Here is a 23779-nt window from a genome sequence, read left to right as displayed (position 1 = left end):
CACATAGACTAATGGAACAAAATACAGAACCCAGAAATAAAGCCCTGGACCTACAGCCATCTGATCTTTGACAAAAATCAACAAAAATAAGCAATGAGGAAATGACTCCTTATTCAACAAATGGTGCTAGGATAGCTGGCTAGGCATATGCAGAAGAATGAAACTGGAATACCCATCCCCCTTCACCATATACAAAAATTAAGATAGATTAAAGATTTCAATGTAAGAAATCTTTGCCATAAGAATCCTAGAAAACAACCTAGGAATAAGCCATAAGAATCCATAAGCCATAAGAATCCTAGAAAAAAACCTAGGAAACACCATTCTGGACATCAGCCTTGGGAAAGAATTACCACCATTCAACTCAGCAATCCCATTACTGGGTATATATCCAAAAGAAAATAAACTGTTCTCCCAAAAAGACACATGCACTCACATGTTCATCCCAGCACTATGCACAATAGCAAAGACATGGAATCAACCTAGATGCTCATCAACAGTGGATCAGATAAAGAAAATGTAGTGCATATACACCAAGGAATATTATATAGCCATTAAAAAAGAACAAAATAAATTCCTCTGCAGCAACACTGATGCAGCTGGAGGCTATTATCCTAAGCAAATTAACATAGGAACAGAACACCAAGTATTGCATTTTTTTCACTTATAAGTGGGAGCTAAACATTGTACTCATGGACCTAAAGATGGGAAAAATAGAAACTGGGGACTACTAGACAGGGGAGGGGGACAAGGGCTGACAAACTAACAATTGGGTACTATGCTCAGTACCAGGGTGACAGGATTATTCATAACCTAAACCACAGAACTATACAATATATCCAGGTAATATACCTGCACATATACCCCCTAAATTTAAAATAAAAGTTGAAGAAAAAAAAATTTTAACAAGTGAGATCAAGATCCTGAAGCATTTTCAAAGAATTATAATAGGAGATGAAACATAACTTTTCCTGTATGATGCTGAAGACAAAGTACAATCAAAGCAATGGCTACCAAGAGGTGGAAGTGGTCCAGTCAAAGCAAAAGTGGACTGATCAAGAGCAAGGGTCATGGCAACAATTTTTTACATGCTCAAGGCATTTTGCTGGTTGATTTTCTGGAGGGCCAAAGAATGGTTAACAACTGCTTACTATCAGAGTGTTTTGAGAAAGTTAGTCACAGTTTTAGCAGAAAGATGCCCAAGAGAGCTTCACCAGAGTCGTTCTCCACCACAACAATGTTCCTGCTCATTCCTCTCATCAAGGGCAATTTTGTGAGAGTTTCCATGAAAAATCATTAGGCATACACCTTGCAATCCTTATTTGGCTCCTTCAGAATTCTTTGTTCACAATCTTAAAAAAATATTTAAAAAGCATCCATTTTTCTTCAGCTAATAATGTAAAAAAGACTGCATTGACATGGTTAAATTCCCAGCACCCTCAGTTCTTTAAGGATGAACTAAATGGCTGGTTATCATCCCTTATAAAAGTGTCTTCAACTTGACGGAGCTTATGTTGAGAAGCAAAATAAAATTTATAGTTTTATCTCATAAAAAAATATTTGTTAATGTTTACAAATGTCTTTGGCTACAGTTAGTAGAACCAATACTGAATAGGGTTAGTGCAAGTATGTGATTTTCAATGACTCTCTTTGCAAGCTATCCTACTGGGCTTTATTTTCTAAGTCATTTCATTTTCTTTTTCTTTTTCTCTTTTTCTCTTTTTTCTTTTTTTTTTTTTTTTTTTTTTTGAGACGGAGTCTCCCTCTGTTGCCTAGGCTGGAGTGCAGTGGCGCAATCTCAGCTCACTGCAAGCTCCACCTCCTGGGTTCACGCCAGTCTCCTGCCTCAGCCTCCCAAGCAGCTGGGACTACAGGCGTCTGCCACCACACCTGGCTAATTTTTTGTATTTTTAGTAGAGAAGCGGTTTCACCGTGTTAGCCAGGATGGTCTCGATCTCCTAACCTGGTGATCTGCCCGCCTCGGCCTCCCAAAGTGCTGGGACTACAGGCGTGAGCCACTTCGCCCAGCTCATTTTCTTTTAAGAAAAATAAAAGTTTAAAATAACCTCTTACAGCAGATTTCACCTTTTAGTGAATGTAAGAATCAACAAGTTTGATGAAAATGCATATTCCCAAACCTCAACACAATAATTTGATTTCAGCAGATCTGGAGTAGAGTGCAAGGATCTATACTTAATAAGAATGCACTAAAGCCCAATTTCCTCCTGAGAATTCCACTAAAAGCTGCTCTTCAGAAATATCCTATGGAAGGCCAAACAGCTAAATGACTACATCATAATCTCTGGCATCCCTGCACCTGAAAATAAGTGACCACATGATTGGTCCCCCTACACACACAGTATGGATTTGTTGCTGGGAAGTGGTTGTCCATCCAGGGATTACATTACCCAGCCCACCATACATCTAGGTATTGGCATGAAAGGTTCACACCAATAGAATGTGAGCAAAAGTGATGTGTATCATATCTAAGCCAAGGTTTTTTAGAAGAAGCTGTACCTTCTCTAAGCTGTCTTTCCCTTTTGTCTCATTGGTTAGATACAAATAACAATAAAACCCTAAGAAATTACAAAGGCCCCAAACAGAAGAGAAACAGATCTCTGAATTATTTCACAGAGAACTGCCTACCAACTATGAACATCTGCTTCAGAGTGTTAAATGAATAAAAATGAACTTCTATTAGGTAAAGTCACGAAAATTTGGGGGTTACTTATAAGCATCACCCTAATATATCAGGCATGTGTGTATACAAACACTTGTATAACCGCATATACATGTATATATTCATTTAATCAACAAAATGTATTGAAAACCCATTATATGCTCAAGATATAATCATGAGCACAAACATATGCAATCCTTATCCTCATGAATCTCAGAAGTACTGAAGCATGTGTGTATAAATGCAGGTTTTTCTATGTGGATTACTTGAATGGGGTAGACAATGAAGTAATATAAATGAGTAAGTAGAACTTTCACTTCCAATTAAGATAGAGGAACAGGGATTAGATTTACCACCCATCTGACACAACTAAAACTCTGAAAAAATATATGGATCAACAATTTGAAGCATTTGATATTAGGCAATAAAAGACAGTGATCCCCTAGAAATGAAAAACAAAATGTGCACCCCAGATCTGCCCCAGCTTATTATCTGAAGAGATGAAATAATTAGAAACAAAACATTTATTAAACTGCATCCCAACATATTAAGCAGAGCAAGCAAAGTATAAAAAAGATCCAAATCAAACTTTCAGAGATGAAAACTACAATGTCTAGTTTAAAAACATACTGTATGGGATTAACAGATTAGATATTTCAGAAGAAAAGAGTAGTGACTTTGAAGACATAGCAATAGAAACTACCCACAATGAAACACAGTGAGGAAAAAAAGATTTTTAAATGAAAGACTGTAACACCAGCAAGCTGTGAGATAAGTTTAAGCAGTCTAATGTACATGTAATAGGAATCCAGAGGAAAGGAGAGAGAGAGGAAGAATGGAAAACTTTTTGAAGATATAAAGGCCAAAATTTCCCAAATTTTATGAAAACTAACAACCTACAGCTTCAAGAAGCTCAATAAATCCCAAACATAAGAAAGCTGAAGAAACTACACCAAAGCAAATCACAATCACATTGCTTATGCCAGTGAGAGAGGACTCTCATAAGCAGCCAGAGAGAAAAGACCTAATACGCAGAGGAACAAAGGTAAGGGTAACAGCAGACTTCTTGTGAGAAACAATGTACATGCTTGAAAACACTGAAGCAACATCTTTACAGTAACAAAAAAAAAAAAATTATCAATCTTAAATTCTTTACTCAGTGAAAATATCTTTCAAAAACCAAAAATGAACACAGACATACAAAAGCTAAAAGAATTTATCACCATCAAACATGCACAACAAAAATGTAAAAGGATGTCCTTCAAGCCAAAGGAAAAATGATACGAGTTGGAAATCTGGATCCACATGAAGAAATGAATACCAAAGGAATGAACACACAGAGCAAGTCCCCAAACGGATCCTGAGCAAGAGGAGAGTTGGAGGCTCTCCCTCTCCCTCTCCCTCTCCCCACAGTCTCCCTCTCCCTCTCCCCACGGTCTCCCTCGCCCTCTCTTTCCACGGTCTCCCTCTGATGCCGAGCCAAAGCTGGACTGTACTGCTGCCATCTTGGCTCACTGCAACCTCCCTGCCTGATTCTCCTGCCTCAGCCTGCCGAGTGCCTGCTATTGCAGGCGCACGCCGCCACGCCTGACTGGTTTTCGTATTTTTTTGGTGGAGACGGGGTTTCGCTGTGTTGGCCGGGCTGGTCTCCAGCTCCTAACCGTGAGTGATCCGCCAGCCTCGGCCTCCCGAGGTGCCGGGATTGCAGACGGAGTCTCATTCACTCAGGGCTCAATGTTGCCCAGGCTGGAGTGCAGTGGCATGATCTCGGCTAGCTACAACCTCCACCTCCCAGCCGCCTGCCTTGGCCTCCCAAAGTGACGAGATTGCAGCCTCTGCCCGGCCGCCACCCCGTCTGGGAAGTGAGGAGCGTCTCTGCCCGGCCACCCATCGTCTGAGATGTGGGGAGCGCCTCTGTCCAGCCGCGACCCCGTCTGGGAGGTGAGGAGCGTCTCTGCCCGGCAGCCCCGTCTGAGAAGTGAGGAGCCCCTCCGCCCGGCAGCCGCCCCGTCCGGGAGGGAGGTGGGAGGTCAGCCCCCGCCCGGCCAGCCGCCCCATCCGGGAGGGAGGTGGGGGGTCAGCCCCCGCCCGGCAGCCGCCCCGTCCGGGAGGGAGGTGGGGGGTCAGCCCCTGCCCGGCCAGCCGCCCCGTCCGGGAGGTGGGGGTTCAGCCCCCGCCCAGCCAGCCGCCCCGTCCAGGAGGGAGGTGGGGGGCGCCTCCGCCCGGCCGCCGCCCCGTCCGGGAGGTCGGAGGCGCCTCTGCCCGGCCGCCCCTTCTGGGAAGTGAGGAGCTCCTCTGCCCGGCCACCACCCCGTCTGGGAGGTGTACCCAACAGCTCATTGAGAACGGGCCATGATGACGATGGCGGTTTTGTGGAATAGAAAAGGGGGAAAGGTGGGGAAAAGATAGAGAAATCAGATTGTTGCTGTGTCTGTGTAGAAAGAAGTAGACATAGGAGACTTCATTTTGTTCTGTACTAAGAAAAATTCTTCTGCCTTGGGATGCTGTTGATCTATGACCTTACCCCCAACCCTGTGCTCTCTGAAACATGTGCTGTGTCCACTCAGGGTTAAATGGATTAAGGGCGGTGCAAGATGTGCTTTGTTAAACAGATGCTTGAAGGCAGCACGCTCGTTAAGAGTCATCACCACTCCCTAATCTCAAGTACCCAGGGACACAAACACTGCGGAAGGCCGCAGGGTCCTCTGCCTAGGAAAACCAGAGACCTTTGTTCACTTGTTTATCTGCTGACCTTCCCTCCACTATTGTCCTATGACCCTGCCAAATCCCCCTCTGCGAGAAACACCCAAGAATGATCAATTAAAAAAAAAAAATCTTAGAAGTGACCAGAAGGAGGAAGAAAACCAATTATCTACAAAGGAATGACAACTACATTGACAGCTGGCTTCTCATCAACAATGATAGATGCCGGAAGACAAAGACGTAAAATTATGAAAGTGTTTGTTGAGAAAAAAAAAAACAACCATCAACCTAGAATTGTATGCCCCGTTAAACTATCATTCAAAAATAAAAGTAAAACTTGTAAAAAAAAAAAAAAAAAAAAAAAAAGGAATGAACACACAGATGCCCATGTAGCTAACATTTCTGATGTTTATCTATGTAAAGATTCTTTGTTATTATTTAAGTCTCTTTAAAAGATAATACTGTTTAATGCAAAACAATAGTGTTTTGTGGGGTTTAAACACACAAAGAAGTGAAACATACAACAATTATTGCACAAAAACTAGGAGGGGAAAAATAAAAGTATACTTTTGTAAGGTTTGTACACCAGATGTAAAGTAATATATCACCGGAAGGTAGAGAGTGATAAGTTAAATATGTCTACTATAAACGCTAAAGCAACAAAGATAAAAGCCACAGGAAGATGAAATTGTTTTAAAAATACAGAATTAATTCAAAAGAAAGGATACAAAAGGGAAAAAGGAACAAATGAGACAAACAGAAAACAAACAGTAAGATGGTAAATTTAAACCAAACTATACCATTATCCATTAAATGTAAATGGTCTAAACACCAATTAAAAGACAGAGATAATTACAAAGGATCAAAAGAACAAGACCTAACTGTACACTATCTATAAGAAACTCGTATTAAATAGGAAGACACAGTTAACCAAGTAAGTAAAAAGTATAGAAAATGGCCTCTCTTAAGATAAGACTAAAGAAAATGGCTGTTGACATAGTTTGATTCACAAGTTGTCACAATTCAGGAAGTATTTTTATATTCAAGAGTCCTTTTCAAGCCTTGAGATCTAAGTAAATATTAATACTAACTTATACTCTTCATAAAAGTCACCACATATGTGTTTACACATCACCATTTCAATTATCCAAACAGTATCTCTAAATACAGCATATTAGAGATTTCAAAGGAAATTCTCAAGTGAGCTAAGAAATTAGCAATCTGTTCTGATCAATAACCATGTGTTCTCAAAGATGGATACATATACTCAAAATTTTACCTCTATATAATGTGTGATTTTAATAAAATACTATCTATTAAGACAACAAAGTCTGAGCCAGATGACAGAAACAAAATGCAACCACATCTCACCACATCCTTTTCCTTTGGGAAGGAACTGGGGATTAAAAAAATGAATATACTACGCTCATGAGAGACAAGTATGCTAGGGAAAGAGTGGGAATACATTTGTGAAATGTCATGGTAGGTTGGATATTACACCTATAAATGTTTGCCCTACCTTCTCAATTTTCTACATGTGAATTGGTATTTCACCTAGGTTGTCAGGTTTATATATGCAGTTTTTCATATCATTCCATTATACTTTTGATATGAGTCTCCAGTGACATCCTGCATTTCACTCCTGCTACTGATAAATCTGTCTTCTTTTTGTCAGTCTTGCTAGAGGTTTGCAATTTTATTAATCTTCTTAAAGAACCAACATTTTGTCTCACTCATTTTCTCTATTTTTTCTGTTATCAATTTCATTGATTTTTGCTCTTTATTATTTCCTTCCTTCTACTTGCTCTGGTTTTATTTTGCTCTTCTTTTTACAGATTCTTAAAGTGGGAGCTTAGATTGTCCATTTGAGACTTTTCCTGTTTTCTGATGTATGCATTTCATTCTATAAATTTTCCTCTGAAATTTAACTGCAGACTCAGAAAAAGAATAAGATATGGCCACAAGTTTGGAAATAAATAGCAGAAACTTTTAAAATGACCAAATGGGAAACACAACAATTTACCAAGAAAATTCTCCAAGGTAAGATACAGAAAATATTCAAACTCAGCTTAAACTCAAAACAAAATGACTTAGACTGAGTGACTTCAAGTAAATAACCATTTAGTCAGCCATGTAGTAAGAAGGAAAAACCCTGCATGTGGAATATAGCCCACTCAATCTGCATTACAGATAATACGAGACAGGGAGCAGGCAATGCAGTGGGGCACAGAAGAGTTAACAGAGCCACATTTTTCCAGTTAGTAGTCTTAGAGGAACTTCTTTACTACCCAACCAGTTTCACGGATTCCTAAATGCTGCCTAACAGGAGCTGAGGCTGGGCATATGTGACGGATAAATGTACAACCATCATGATTTCATTTCTGCAGGTTGCCCCACCCCATGGAGAAATACTAATTTCTAATATAATATATGGAAGAATAAAATATCTTCTTTCTTACCCTCTGAGCTTTTGCGAGTTCTTCTTTTAATCGTTCATAGCCCTTTTCTCTAACTTCCAAAACAGATGGGCTTCGTAAACGAGACAGACTATCAGTACTCAACCCAAAAATATCATCACTGCCATCGCAAGCCTCTGTTATAGTAGCACCCTGTAAAAACTCTCTCTCTGCATTATAGTTGTCCTTTCTTGTAGTTAATTTAGTTAATCCAGCTGTGACTCCAGAGGTAGAGCAAGGGGCTGGGTCTGTAACATGAAAGCTGTAAAGGAGAGAGACATTTTTCAGAAAATATCAGCATATGCTCCAATAGAACTGGCTTAAACACACAGCTCTAGAACTGTACTACCCAATTTGGTAGCTTCTATATTTAAATAAATAGTATGTCCTCAGTCATATCAGCCACATTTCAAGTGCTCAATAGCTACATGTGGTTAATACCTATCATTCATATTAGATAGCACAGAAATAGAACATTTTCATCAACACAGAAAGTTCTACAGGACAGTGCTACTCAAGAGCAGGGGTTAACAAACTATAGCCTACAGGCTAAACCAAGCCTTCCACCCGTTTTTATAAGGTATCAATGAGCCAAGTATAGTTTTTACAATTTCAAATAGTTGAAAAGAAATCTTTAAAAGAATATTTTGTGACACATGAAAATTAAATGAAATTCAAAATTCTGCATCCATATATGAAGTTTTATTGGAACACAACCACTCTCATTCATTTACATACTGTCTATGGCTGCTTTCAAACTCTAAAGGCAGAGTTGAATAGTTGCAACAGAGACTGCATGGCTTGCAAAGCCTAAAATATTTACTATCTGGTCCTTCACATATAAAGTTTGTCAACCCTGTTCTAGAACATTATCAGGTCATGTATTTCTTTACCTAGGCACACTTAAGTTATTCAAATTTTCTAAAAATAGTAAAACTTAAAATATAGTAACTAAGCAAACTGTCCATTTTAAAAAAAATCAAATAAGTGATTTACTTATTTCCTACCTGATACTAGATATTTCCGCACAATTTAAACGTCTGGGGGATGAATACACGGGTTGTGTAGGAAGTTCAGAAACATCTAATGCATTTGCCTGGATAGGTACAGAGGATAAAGCTGAAGGGTGTGGCCGGTAGATGACACTTGGTGAGGTAGTCTGCTCTTGAGTTCCTGATTCATACACACCAAGAAGGTCCGGAGAAGTAGGTGAAGCAAGGTTTACTTCATGGAAGCCTTCCAAGGGATCATTAGCCATAGCAAAAGCCTCATCATAAGATAACCTATGTTAAAACAAAAAGCAGATACTTATTTTTAGATAATAACATTTAAAACTAAATTAAAATGCATAAATTATAAAATGTGTTTAACAGTCCATTGTAAATTATAAGCTTACAATAAAAGAGGCTTTTTTTAAAAAACCACAATCACATGGTGGTATATGCCTGTAGTACCAGCTACTCGGGAAGATGAGGTGGGAGGATTGCTTGAGCCCAAATGCAGGTTGCAGTGAGCCGTGATCACAACCCTGCACTCCAGCCTGGGTGACAGGGCAAGACCTTCTCCCACTCAAAAAACAAAAACAAAAACAAAACACCACAATCACTTAACATTTACTAAGCGATCTCACAGTATAACTACTACAAAAGGCAAACAATCTGATTTAGAAGAAACCTGAAAGTGATAAGCAATGCTGTTAAAGTGAGAATAATCAATTAGTATGAGGAATGAATAAAAATTGGCTTAATTTTTAAAAATATTTTAAAATTATTAAATGTTCATATTAAAATAAATTATCTCAGTATACTATTTAAATATGAAAATACTAAAAACAAAATCTAACAGTATTATGCAATCTTAGACTCAATAACAATTATATTATGCTGTGAAACTCTTAAAACAATTTTTTTAACAGAGAACATTGTATTTATCATGTACAACATGTTTGAAGGCACATACACATTGTGAAATAGCTAACTAGCTAATTAACGAATGCGTTACCTCATGCCATTATTTTGTTATGAGAAAACTCAACATTTACTCTCTGCATTTTTCAAGAATTTACAATATATCGTCAGGAACTACAGTCATCCTGCTGTACCATAGATCTCTTGAATTTATATTTAACTTTCTGATTATACATGACCTTGGTTAGAGTAAGTAGAAAGGCGGTAAAGACACACACATACTCTCTCATACCTGTCACCCAGATTATGAAATTGTTAATATTTTTGAGTCATTTAAGAATGTTTCAGACATGATGCCCACTTAATATCTCAATGTATACATATACACAGTGTGTGTGTGTGTGTGTGTGTGTGTGCCCGTGTATCTGTGTATGTGTGTGTGTATCCTAAGTACAAGGACATTCTATCTAACCACAAAATCATCATCAAAATCTGGAAGTTAACATTGATTAAAATTACCATCTAATCAACAGGCCCCATTCAAATTTCACTAATTGTTCCAATAATATCCTTTATATGTACAGGATCCAATCCTGGATAATGTGTTTCATTTCTATAAGCCTTAAATTTCTCCTCTGATGAGATTAGAATGGGGATAACACTAGCCCCTCCCTTGTCCTGGTTGCTGTGAGGATTGAAGGAGACAATCCATGTAAAGTATTTTGTAGAGTACTATGTACCTGACATAGAGTATGGCCTCAATAAACTTGAATTATCATAGCCCAGCCACTAACAATACCACATATGCTTCAGGTTCTCCATAAGCAAAAAACAGTTCATGTAACTATTCAATTATATCACAAAGTTTACATGGAAACTAACTTGAGTGTACCACTCAAGTTTTTCCTCTGAAGAATTCAAAGCTAAATGGCATCTTACAAATTCTTTATTGATTTTCCCTGTCTGCTGAATAGAGACCAAACTTCTTAGCCAAAAAAGTAAGGTCTTCTAGGATCTGAATCCAATCTCTCTTTCCAATTTTTTTCCTTCCTATGATAGTACTTTGACAGTTGTGAATAACATCTTCCCGGAACTTAGAAAATGCCAAACAGGTCAGGCTTGGTGGCTCATACCTATAATCCCAGCACTTTGGGAGGCCGAGGCGGGTGGATTACTTGAGATCAGAAGTTCGAGACCAGCCTGGCCAACATGGTGAAACCCTGTCTCTACTAAAAATACAAAAATTAGCTGGGCATGGTGGCCCATGCCTATAATCCCAGATCTCGGAAGGCTGAGGCAGGAGAATCATTTGAACCCAGGAGGTGGCAATGAGCTGAGACACTGCACTTCAGCCTGGGCGACAGATTGAGATTCCAACTCAAAAAATAAAAATAAAAAAAATGCCAAACCAAACAATATAGCACATCATTTCTTCCATAAGATACAGAAGTAGTCATTTGTTAAACTAGCTGAAAAATTTAACTCTCAAATCCTTAATAAAAAGTGTTAATACAAGTAGAGAATAAAAACAAAAAGATTTCAGCAAAGTTGAAAGAGATCTGACTCAGTATCATTTCAAAATTACAAATTAGTATGTGTCACAGACTTTCCAGCATATAGACAACCCAAAGTGCAACAATTAAATCTACAAATGACAAATTTCAAATCCAATCAGCTGTTTACTAATAGCAAATGATTTATTCTTCAAAATGAAACTAGTCCTTGCTTTTTTCACATAAAATATTCACTATGCCAAATGAAAGATGAGATTAATAAGGAATGTAAGGTGTTTAATACTCCATTAAAATTTATTATTTTTTCACCCAAAAGAATTTTCATTTTTTATTCATAATCCATATACCCACATATACCAAGAAAACTGCTATATTCAAAGTACATAATTCATTTTCACTTGAATATAGTTCAGGCAAGTACACTAACCAATTCATTAACATAAAAAACCTTTGTATTACGTTTGCATTAAATTTTGACATTTTAATCAGTAACTATTTATGATTCTTTCTTCTATCCCATATACTATGAATTCACCTCTTTATATCCTGAAGGTTCACTGAATCATAAAACGTAAAAGCATTTGCATTTCTGGAAATACAAAATAGTACAAATCCTATGGAGGAAAATTTAGCAATAACTTCAAAATGATATTAAACCTGTGACCCAGCATGCCACTCCTGGGGCTTTATCCTAAAGATAAACTGGCAACATGACAACAGCACTCTTCGTAATAGCAAAAAACTGATTCAATGAACCAGGGTACATCCTCATAATGAAGCACTGCACAGATGTAAAATACATATCCATGTATCGCTATGAAGTGACATCGAAGATATACCAGTAAGATAAAAAACAGGATAAATAACAGTAAACTACCTTTTATCTAAAAAAGGAGAATAAAAATAAATAAATATATATATATAATTTTTTTTTAATGGAAAGGCTAGGTTCAGTGGCTCACACTTGTAATCCCAAAAACTTGACACACAGAAGCAGGAGGACAATTGTGGCCAAGAGTTAAAAGACTAGCCTGGGCAACATAGTGAGATCTTGTCTCTACAAAAAGTTGTAAAATTAGCTGGGTGTGATAGTGCAGGCCTATAGTCCTAACCACTTGGGAGGCTAAGATGGGAGGATGGCTTGAGCTGAGGAATTTGAGGGTACAGTAAGCTTTGATTATACCACTGCACTCCAGCCTGGGTGAAAGAACGAGACCCTATCCTGAAAAAAAAAAAAAAAAGAACAAAAGAAAAAAAAGCAGGCAAAATGGTTACCTATAGAAGGAGAGATGACAGAGTGAAAAATATGAAAGCTAGACTTTTTTCTGTAAGTACCTTGCTTTACAGATTTGATTCTGAGCTTGGAACCATGTAAACAGTAAAAATTAAAGTTTAAAAAAGAATCCCTAAACATAAAGCAAATAAACTTGTGTACTGAGATGGTAGCTTAACCACACAGAAAAGAACTACTTCGAGTGATTTTAAAACATAACAACATAAATATATATCCCTAATGGAATGTATTCTAAAAGCAAAAGGAAGTGAAAAAAGTCACAACCTATTTTCAATGTTAATAACAGTAGTAATATTGATACTGTGATTCTGAAACTTTGTTATAAGATGAAGCAAATAAGTTATGCTAATGTCATTTGGAACTAAGATTTTCAGCATATTAGAAAAACTACAAATATAAAATCAAAGAATTTAAATCCTAGAGGCCTAAATTTTACTCAGAAACACCAGAAAAAAAATTCTAAGTTTATCCAATGAAAAGTTGGTCAGCATAGCAACGCTGACCAACTCAGGAGCCATGCGCACCCATGTACTCAGAGTAATACCATGTCCTCCAAAAAAAAGAACACAGGCTCCTTGGGAAAAATGGCTGATTCCAGCCTGGGACAGAAATGTACGAAAGGACCCTGGAACATCTTGTTATACCAGAAAGCAAGCACACCATCAAAAACTACTGGACTGATATCAAACGGACTCCCACTAACCAAAAACGGGACAATCTGAACATCAAAAAGGATAATATCTGCAAAGAACTGAAAGGCAAATATTTTTAAATCCATGAGGTCATAATGACACTAAAAATAAAGCAAAGTACCTCACTGGCCTTCTCTGATCAATGCTATGGAACCAATTCATTATTTTCAAAATTGGTAAATAAAATGAAAGAATGAAGTATTTTATCTGGCTTTCCTGTATATCAAAGAACTGAACAGCTCATGAGAAAAAGTTCTTTTTAGCAGAATTCCACTTAATAAATATAACTTTGGAATCCTAATGAAATAATGGATTTAGGGCAATAATTATTTAAATAGCTATTAAAACCATAAGGTAAAAGGTTGTTTGAGGAACTTTATAGTTAATCAATCAGAATGACAGTACCTGAACTCACTGATCACATCTTGTCACAAAAACGGAGACAATCAAACATTATGTATATTATGTGGCAAATAAGAAATGAACATCACTGCCATTAATAAAGCATTCTGGCCTAAGAAAAAAAAAAAAAAGAAAGACCCCAAATCAAACAAGCCTCTTGATGGTCATCAGTTTATAGTAAATACAGAGGAGAAAGGAACATGTTAAATAACACCACAGGGACAAAAACAGCAAAATCTAGACTTTGGGAAACTCTCATCATAAACAAACTACTTGGTTTTTCCAATAAACTGTAAAAAAAAAAAAAAAAAAAACGAGGTAGAGGGAATTTATAAACTTAAGAGAATTAACTAAACACAATCTGTGGGCCTTGTTTGGATTCTTCTTTGAATAAACCAACTGTAAAAACAAATTATGTTATTAGGAATTATAGTTAATTTTAGGGATAATAATGGCATAATGGTTGTATTTTTAAAATCCTTATCTTTTAAAAAAGATACACACTGAAGTATTTATAGATGAAATAAGATTACTTGGATTTGCTTCAAAATAATCCAGGGAGAGAGGAAGGGAATGGGAAGCCAAGGAGCCAAGTCATTCAACTACCAGCCCCAATCTCACAGGAAGTTAAGGTGGCTCCTCCCATAACAGCTAGTATTCGTTGAGCACTTACTAAATATTAAGCATAGCGCATCTATGGTTGAGGAAACTGCAGCTTAGAGTAGTCAGAATTAAAGCCTACCGTTATTAGACCCTACTGTCCAAGCTCTTAACCACCACGACACACTTACAAGTAGAACTGCTTTGCCACTCCATTGTTCCACTGTTCTAGTGAAAATGTTTCTCTTAGTTTTGAATTAAAATCCATCATGCCTGCAACATTAACCCTATTTTTCCCACATATAAACACAGTATTTCAGCCATTCTTTCAGCAAGTATTTACTAATGACCTACTCTGTGCCAGGATCTGGGGAAAGAAGAAAAATCTACTCTGCCTTCAAACAGCCTATTAGAGTAGGAGACTGACAAGTAGAGGCAATGATATGTGATAAATGCCACAGAAGATGCAAATAAACTCAGAGACCACACGGGAAGGACAAATAAATCAGAGACAAAGGATTCCCGAAAAAATAAAGCCAAAGGAAAGATCCAAACAACAAGCAAGAAATGAGAAAGACAAAACCTTTGTAAGGGCTTTCCAGACATGTCCACCATGTGAAAGCAAAGCATTTATACAAAACGCAGTTACTCCATTAGCTGGAGCACAAGCTATGAATATAAAGTACAAGTCTCGAAGAGAGGCAGGTTTGAATCCCACTTCTGTCAAATTACTGAGACAATCTGAGCCTAGGTTCTCCCATCTGGAAATCTGTGTCTTGGTTTTGCTACCTAACAGAATGAAAATTAAAAGGGATAATACTACATAACAGCAGTCCCCAACCTTTTTGGCCCCAGGGACCAGTTTCGTGGAAGACAATTTTTCCACAGACAGGGCAGAGGGTGGGAGGAGATGGTTTCGGGATGAAACTGTTCCACCTCAGATCATCAGGCATTAGATTCTCTTAAGAAGCATGCAACCTAGATCCCTTGCAATGTGCAGTTCACAATACGGTTCGCACTCCTATGAGAATCTAATGCAGCTTGCTGATCTGACAGGAGGTGGAGCTCAAGTGGGAATGCTCGCTTGTCCGCCACTTACCTTCTGCCACTTACCTCCTGCTGTGTGGCCCAATTCTTAACAGGCCACAGACCACTTTAGGTCCACAGCCCAGGAACTGGGGACCCCTGTTATATAGCACTTAGGACAATGCCTCTGAGCAGTGCTTCTAACCTACAATGTTTCCCTTCTGGGGGATACATTTAAATACTGTCTAAATTCAAGTCACTTCTGAAAAGGAGATTATTTTGAGATTAAATTTAATCCCTTTTTCAAGCACATAAAATTTCCATAAAATGTAATTTAGCTGGTAATGAGCTGCCAATCTCACTGGTCTGAAAATCTTTTGCCCTTTAAATACATAGAAGCTTTAAGATTTATTTCACATACGTCTTTATAAGAGTAAAATAAACTACTATTTTTAAGCAGTAGTATCTTTCGCATTAAGCAATGAGTGATTCAAAAAGAACTAATTTCAACTGATTATCCCAATTAGTAAATTAAACTTGTCAAGGATCATGACCAATATGTAAAAAAGATGATCACATTAAATTCTTATGGGTGAATCACCAACACAACTTGGCTGGCCTTATTACTGAGCTCCAGGTAATAAAGCAGACTGCAGACCACAAGAAAAAGTTGATCAAAACAATTTGCTTCTGATCCCTAATATGCATTTCCTGTTAATTTTTCTTTCTCGAAATCAGTACTATCACAGCAAAAACAACAGCCAATCTTTACTGAAGGTTAACTATGTTGTCAGATAGTGGTGCTAAGAATTTCATACATATTAACTCATTTAATAAATGCCTAGAAAGATCCTAATAACTTATGAAATTTACTTTTTCTAATTAAAGTGAATTTTTAAAATGTTTCTTGAAAACAAAAGCCATCCCTAGGACAACTCAAGAAATCAGAATTAATGGGAAAATATTTTCAATGAAACATCTGAAGAACATGAATAAAATGCATATACATATTTTAAATGAAATCTAGCAACTTGATTTATATCAGTAGTCCAAAAGAAAAAATAAAATCCATTTTTCCACAAAAAGCACATTCCCCTAATTTGGACTTACCTTGACAAATGGGAAACATAGAATTTTAATTTTAGAAAAAAAAAAAAAAACTAAAGCTGTGATTTTTATCTTTTTTCATATCAATTTAATATATGTGAAAATTAAATAATTTGAATTCTATGTTTACTAAAATTCCTCAAAGCACTACACTCAGAAAGTAAATCATTTCCAACAAAGGAGGTAATATGGCAACACAGCAGAGTAGAAGCATCAGTACCTGAAGAAGAAAGCTAAGGCTCCTGATCAAGCTCTGAGATCTATCTATGAACCTGGGCAGGTAACTTATCTGAGCCCAAATATCTTCATCTATTTCAGTGTAGAATTGGATCAAATAATCCTGGTAGATAAAGGAATGTACTTGTCTACTAGAAGAAAAGCCAACAGGGTAACTTAACCAGTATTCACTATCTCATGAAATAGCTTGTACTCTGGAATCAGTCTCAAATCTTGGCTTCACCAGTTACTAATAAAGTGACCTGAAGATCTAAGTCTCAATTTCTCATCTAAAAATGGAGATGACAGGTCAGGCACAGTGGTTCTTGTAATCTCAGAACTTTGGAAGGCCAAGACAGGACGGTTGCTTGTGCCCAAGATGTTTAAGCAACAACCAAAAGCAACATAGCGAGACCCCATCTCTACAAAAAATTTAAAAATTAGCAGAGTGTGGTGGCATACGCCTGTGGTCCCAGCTACTCCTGAGCCAGGAAGGTTGAGGCTATAGCGAACTGTGATTGTGCCACTGCACTCCAGCCTGAGCAACAGAGAAAGATCCTCTCTCTCTCTCTCTCTCACACACACACACACACACACACACACACACACACACACGAAAGGGCAAGGGGAGAAAACTGTACCTATCTCCTAAGGTAGTCATGAGAATTAAAGAGCTTAGCACCATATCTGGCACTTACCAATTAAGACTGGCTCTTACTATTATAATCATCTCTAGGACATTTCCTAATACTGGCCAAATATTTTGATCATATTGTATCAGCACAAGCACTATCACTAAGAACAAAAAGCAATGATTGTTGAGTTTGGGTTTAAAAGCTTATTGTTTTGAGTGATTTTCCTCAAAAAAAGTAAACATCTATAAATCCTGTAGTATAATTTTGTTTTACTTGTATTATCACAATAATAGAAATTAAATATTCCAAGACATGTCAAAAGAAAAGGTTTAAGATTATGTAAGCACTATTTTCCTCTTTCAATTTATTCACAGACAGTTGTGGAAGGGGGGCAGGGAGGAAAGTCCAGATGCTTTTTAAATTCCCAAATGACTTCTTAATTTAACATGAATTATGAAAGAAACAGTTTCTGAGATTAAAAATGAGACTGCTACTTCAATAGCATATAATGAATTGAACTGTTATAAATTCCATGAATTAGTTACAAATTCCATCACTTCTTTAAAAACCTTCAACATTTATTATACATATTAAATACATTTATTTCATACATATATGTGATAAATTATATTTATTCTTGTTGGAATGGAAGGATGATTGCCAGCTTCAACACCTCCGGGCAAATCCTGATACTAAGTGCTAAGAATACAGATACAAATGGACCAAAGAGATGGCACACAGCCTCTACGAGCCACGGCATGATTATTCTGAGGGTTGTGGGGAGGGAAGAGGGAAGAGGAGAATGTCTCAAAGAGAAGTAAAATATAAGTCAGATTTTCAGTGCTGAATACAAGTCCAGTAGATGGGCAAGGGGAATAGGATAGGACAGTCAGGGAATAAGGGTCTGGCACTAACAAAACTAACAAAGGAGACAGTAACAGAAAAGCAGGCTGGAGAGGCAGACTGTGACAGACCATTAAAAGCCTTCTTTAAAAGAGAAAATGTTGCTTAAAGTTTATCCTGAAGAGATGGTGAGATCTACATTTTAGAAAGTATAGATGTATTGTAATGTAGTCATTTAAAAATGACTCCCAAGGCAATGAGAACTTCACTGGAGACTAGAGGCTGGTTAAACGATTACTGTCTGATCTAATGCCAAGGTCATGCACTGGGAATGAGGGGATGGAGGCATATATACGTATGGAAAACATTCAGAACAGCTTCATTTATATTTATTCACAAACACACAATTATTCCAGTTAATCTTCAGAGCATTCATTTGAAATGGTTCTTATCCCTACTTTACAGATATATAAAAAAAAGAGGCTGAGAGAGATTAATTTTGTCAAATACACAAAAAGTAACAGAGCTAGTATTCAAACTCTGGTGTGTCTGACTCTAACACCTAACTCCACTACATCTGAGATACACTTAGAAGCTGAAATGGATAGGGAGTAGGGAGATGGGAATAAAGGTTAAAGCACAGCAAAGGATCTCTAAGAAGTGAACAATCCTGGGTGCAGTAAACCACCATGGCACGTGTATACCTATGTAACAAACCTGCATGTTCTGCACATGGTATCCCAGAACTTAAAGTTTAAAAAAAAAGAAGTGAACAATCCAAACAGAATAATAATGTTTAATCTCTGAACCCTTCTCTTACTTTCACAAAGACAAAACTGAAGTTTCTCTAAAGCACTGCTATTGAAATGAGCATTTGCTATTGCTTTGTGTTCTATTATTTTCCCCTATATTATTTTTGTTATCATTTCCTCCTCTGTTTTGTTACTATGCCAGAATTTAATACTTATTCAGCTCCTTACAGGACTTGGAAAAAAAAAAACAGCACATAAATCAAAATAAACAGAAACTTGAATTTACTATAGTACCCATATTCCTGTGTATTTTTTTAAAAAGTGTAGATATTTTATACCAAGGAATTAGTGTTAATTTTTGAAAATTTGTAATAATAAAAGCAGGAAATGTAGATTAAAATGAAAAAATAAATAAAGAACAAAGTTTGTAAAAGTACTGCAGTTAACTGCTCTTATCTTTGGGAAATACTGAAATACCTACAGGTGAAATTACACAGGACTTGCAATTTGTTTCAAAATAATATAGAAGTGGGAGAAGTGGATGGATGAGGACTGATCACTGTTGATAGTTACTGGGCTACATGATGGAAACTTTTAGGTTCATTATACTATTGTGTCTACTTACCTTATTTGAAACTCTCCATAATTTATAGTGCTCTCAAAATAAAAAGGAAAGTTCAAAATTTATTCAAATACTGTATAATAAAGGAGGAAAAAACAAAACAAGTATATATATAAAATCATTTTTTCATTAGCTTTCATAATAATTTTAAAGTTGGCTTCCCAAACTAGCATTTTAGTTATGACAAAAAAAATCACATTTATCTTTTAAGAAGCATTCTATGTTTATAAATGCAAATGTAATTAATAGCCCAAGGGCAAAATTACTCAAATGGTCAATCAGGCTACACAATTTTCCCATTTTTATTATAATAGATCACAAATGAATTCCCACTAATTCCACAATACTTTTTTTTTTTTTTTTTTGAGATGCAGTCTCGCTCTGTCGCCCAGGCTGGAGTGCAGTGGCACAATCTCGGCTCACTGCAACATCTGTCTCCTGAATAGCTGGGATTACAGGCGCCTGCCACCACACCCAGCTAATTTTTTGTATTTTTAGTAGAGATGGGGTTTTGCCATGTTGACCAGGCTTGTCTCGAACTCCTGACCTCAAGTAACTGTCTGCCTCAACCTCCCAAGTGCTGGGACTACAGGTGTGAGCCACCATGCCCGGCCTAATTCCACAACACTTCAATGTACAACCTGACATGTGTAGAGATGTTAGTTATTGCAGTGTGTTATGTTGACAGTTTTCAGAAAATGTTCTGAACTTATGAGCTAATATTATATTTAATTACAAATAATTATTTGTAATAATACAATGAGCTAATATTTAATTACAAATATTTATTTGTAATTAAATATTTATTTAAATTAACAGAACACCGCATGTTCTCACTCATAAGTGGGAGATGAACAATGAGAACACACGGACACAGGGAGGGGAATATCACACACCAGGGCCTGTGGGGGAGTGGCGGGCTAGGGGAGGGATAGCATTAGGAGAAATACCTAAGGTAGATGATGGGTTGACCGGTGCAGCAAACCACCATGGCACGTGTATACCTATGTAACAAACCTGCACATTCTGCACATGTATCCCAGAACTTAAAAGTATAATTTTTTAAAAAAATCATTTTCCAAATTTCTTTTTCTCAATAATGGAAGCTTCATTTTACATATTCTCTTAAGAATATATGCCAACTAAACATTCAACAGGTGCTGAAATACGCACTGACTAAATAAATAAACAAGAGTCTTTAGAGAAGGAATGAATAGCAAAGCGGTAAAGAGTGGAGACAGTTATTCAGGCTACATTTTTGCTGAAAAAGATAGAAATGAAACAGTAAATACTTTGCGAGAGTATCAAAACTGGAGAAATTGAAGTTTGAGAAAACCTGAGCATTTTAACAGACTAACTTCAGAAAACCTTCCTTCTAGTTCAGATTCTGTCACTGACAAGCTGTGTGAACTGACGCAAGTCATTTAATCTCTCTAAGGTTCAGTTTTGACATCTATAATGGTAGTGATATTATCTCCCCTGCCTACATTTGAGAAAATCAAATGGCATATCAATGTAAAAATGTATACATTGTAAAGCACAACATAAATGTATGATTTTATAAAGATCTAAGAAAGAAAAAAATGTAATGGGGGAAATAGCAAAAGCATACTGAGGGGTTTGTCTTACAAATCAGAAGGTATCTTTATTTATCTTAGGTAAAAGGAAAGAAAGGGAAAACTAGTCTTTATGAGGCATGTAGTTCAAATATGATTCTTTTCCCCACAGGGAATTGATACAAATTTGCTTATTGTTTTTTCAAACTTATTTTGGTTTTTCTTTTATACTTTATCCTTATCTGACAACCAGATGCTCCCAAACAAATATTCAATACTATTACTTTTATCTGGGCATATCAAATTACAATTCACTTATTTAAGTGGTTCTAAGCTATCATCTATATGCTCCTTTATGCTCATAGGGCATTCTCACATTCTTGAATAGTTTCTTCATACTAAGCTGTCAATTCATATACTTATTTGTGTATGTATCCATACCCCTCAGAGGAATTTCATCAACTGCCATTATGATTATATTTACAATCCTACTGTTAACGACAAGCATCAAATCTTTCATGAACTTGAACTATTTGAATAATTTTCATTCTTTTTCCTCTAAGTAATATCAGTTTACGGCTATAGTTATCTAATTTCGTGTTGCCCTATATTCTAAGATAAATCAGATTACTTTTTCCACTTTTCTCTAACCATGACTATGTACGATGTAAGCTTATAAAACTACCTCATTTAGTGGTAAGTTGAAAAGGAAAGCAGAAGGGAAAATAGAGATAGCAAGTTAATGCTCCCAGTTGTATAAATATCTTCCTCTTCCTTCCTTTGTCCCTTCATTTCTCAATGTTCATTTCAATTTCTACTGCTAGAGCAGCTTCAAAACATCCTAACATTCTTCAACTGATCATCCATCACCAAACACAGCACAGTACTTACCTGGCCCGATGTTAAAGCTATAAAATGAGGTAAGCCCTACTCTCGAAGCACTTGTAGACTAGAGGAAGAGACCACCTTGCCAATAAACATGTTTCTAGGGCCCTAGAAACAATTACAAATACAACACAAATATCAAAGTTCATAAATACCAAAAAAGAGGTACTCAGTATTATAAAAGCATAAAATTTTTAAAAAGAGTACCATCTGGTACAACTAAGGATAGTAGCATAAAAAAGGAGAAACAAGCTAGAAAGCAGTTTACAAAAGCTCAGATATTTTGTTTTTAGGATATCAAATGCGTAGTAACCAATTTACTATCCTTTGATGAACTGCATCTTAATCAGAATTATATCGGAAAAAAGTTTAGTGTGAAAAAGCGTACTCCCTTGGAATATCTTCAAAGCTTTCCCTCATTACCTCAATGCACAAATATCTCTACCCACTATCCATCTGTCCTTCCTCTCCACTACTCAACTATCCTAGCACTTTGTCTTAGTTGACATTCATTAAAATATGTAAAGTGCGTTCTACATTTTGAAGAACTTATAAAAGATATGGGAATGATTATAAGGCCCTACCTTCCATATTCCTTAAGAACAGTTTCCTTTAACCCCTACTGTGACTTGCAGAGTAGATGCTCAATGAGTATTTGATTTAAAAAAATCTCTGGTGACACAATGAGAATTACATATTACATTAACATTACGTATCTCATAAAAGCTAAATTACAAAGTTCTTCAGCATTATAAGCTACACATAAAGAAGTGATAATGTAGTGATTATGAGCAAACAATTCTTTAGCATTACCACTTATACATGAAGAAATGACAGAGTGTAGTGGTTAAGAGCACAGACATGGAAGACAAACTGTCTGACATCTAATCTAGACCTGTCACTTAATTAACTATGTGACGTTGAGCAAACTACATAAGGTCTCAGGGTCTCAATTTTCTCAACTACAAAATAGGGATAAAGTATTATCTCCTCGCTCACTCTGAGAGTAAATGAGTATAAAGCTTACACCAGGACTTCGCTTGATAAGCACTAGACTTAAAAGTAACTGTAGTAGCAATGCTGGTATCACCGTCTTCAGAAAACTTGGATATTTTTAAACCAGAAATACAAATGGTAACACTTGTCATCTGTGTGCCTCCTTATAGTTACAAAGCTCTTTAATAGAAGGTGCAGACCAGGAATGTAAGAAACAAAAGCACTACGTTCCATTTTGGGCAGTCGGATACAGTTTTTAATACCGGCTCTGTCACTGGCCAGCTGTACGACCACCTACAACTAAGTAACCATAGACAAATTATCGCAACTTTCTAAGCCTCCATTTCCTGACTTGTAAAATTTGATAAACCACCTATATCCCGGGAATGTCCAGAGGACTGAGGAGTCAAGGTATCGAAAACAAGCACACACAGTGCCTTGCACACAATCAAGCTCACACTGGTTCCTTCTCCCCTTCCCCACATCTCTAATGGAGTATGTTATTAAATCCTCATCTTACCATTATGAAGTTCATATTAGGTTGAAACATAAAAAACAGCAGAATATTAGCAATTTCAACCTAATAGTATTTCCACTGACAAATGGAGAAAATAAGCTCAAACAGGTTAAATGTTTTACTCAAGGTTTTATGCACAGTAAGTGATGGAGCTGAACATTAAATAATTTTTCATTCAGCCAGCTCACTAATTTGTTCACTGACTCCTGTTGAGGAGGAAAAAAGTATAGTAACTACTATAATGCATATAAAACTACTGTAATCTACAAAGTATTTTTTCGTGCCATATTTAAAAAATGAGGGGGTGAAACATTTCTAAGAACCTTTCCATTTTAAAAATTATTTGTAGAGGATGTGTGTGTTGGGGGAGGATGAG

General features: G+C 36.7%; 1 protein-coding gene across 13 annotated transcripts in view, besides 1 other annotated feature; it reads right to left on the bottom strand.

Annotated features, from left to right (window-relative positions):
* The window catches only part of RAB3IP (RAB3A interacting protein), an 84963-nt gene that overhangs the window by 58699 nt on the left and 2485 nt on the right, over positions 1–23779 (bottom strand). For all 13 annotated transcript variants that reach the window (XR_007063038.1, XR_007063039.1, NR_103519.2 and 10 more), the window contains exons 2-3: positions 8847–9122; positions 7843–8101 (exon numbers count right to left, since the gene is read on the bottom strand). Coding sequence is in view for 9 of the 13 variants with exons in the window: in XM_047428268.1 (XP_047284224.1) it covers positions 7843–8101; positions 8847–9122 (535 nt within the window). In the remaining 4 variants the exon portion in view is untranslated. The remainder of the gene's footprint in view (positions 1–7842; positions 8102–8846; positions 9123–23779) is intronic.
* Positions 4392–4983: an enhancer, noted in NCBI's record as "H3K27ac hESC enhancer chr12:70153303-70153894 (GRCh37/hg19 assembly coordinates)". NCBI's record gives its function as "activates a minimal SCP1, AML or CMV promoter by ChIP-STARR-seq in naive H9 embryonic stem cells {active_cell/tissue: H9 hESC(naive)}" and the evidence as "EXISTENCE:reporter gene assay evidence [ECO:0000049][PMID:30033119]".

This window comes from Homo sapiens, chromosome 12, assembly GCF_000001405.40.
Source record: "Homo sapiens chromosome 12, GRCh38.p14 Primary Assembly".
Lineage (NCBI taxonomy): Eukaryota > Metazoa > Chordata > Mammalia > Primates > Hominidae > Homo > Homo sapiens.
The sequence above is the reverse complement of the archived record's forward strand: the minus strand, read 5'-3'. Positions and strand labels throughout refer to the sequence as shown.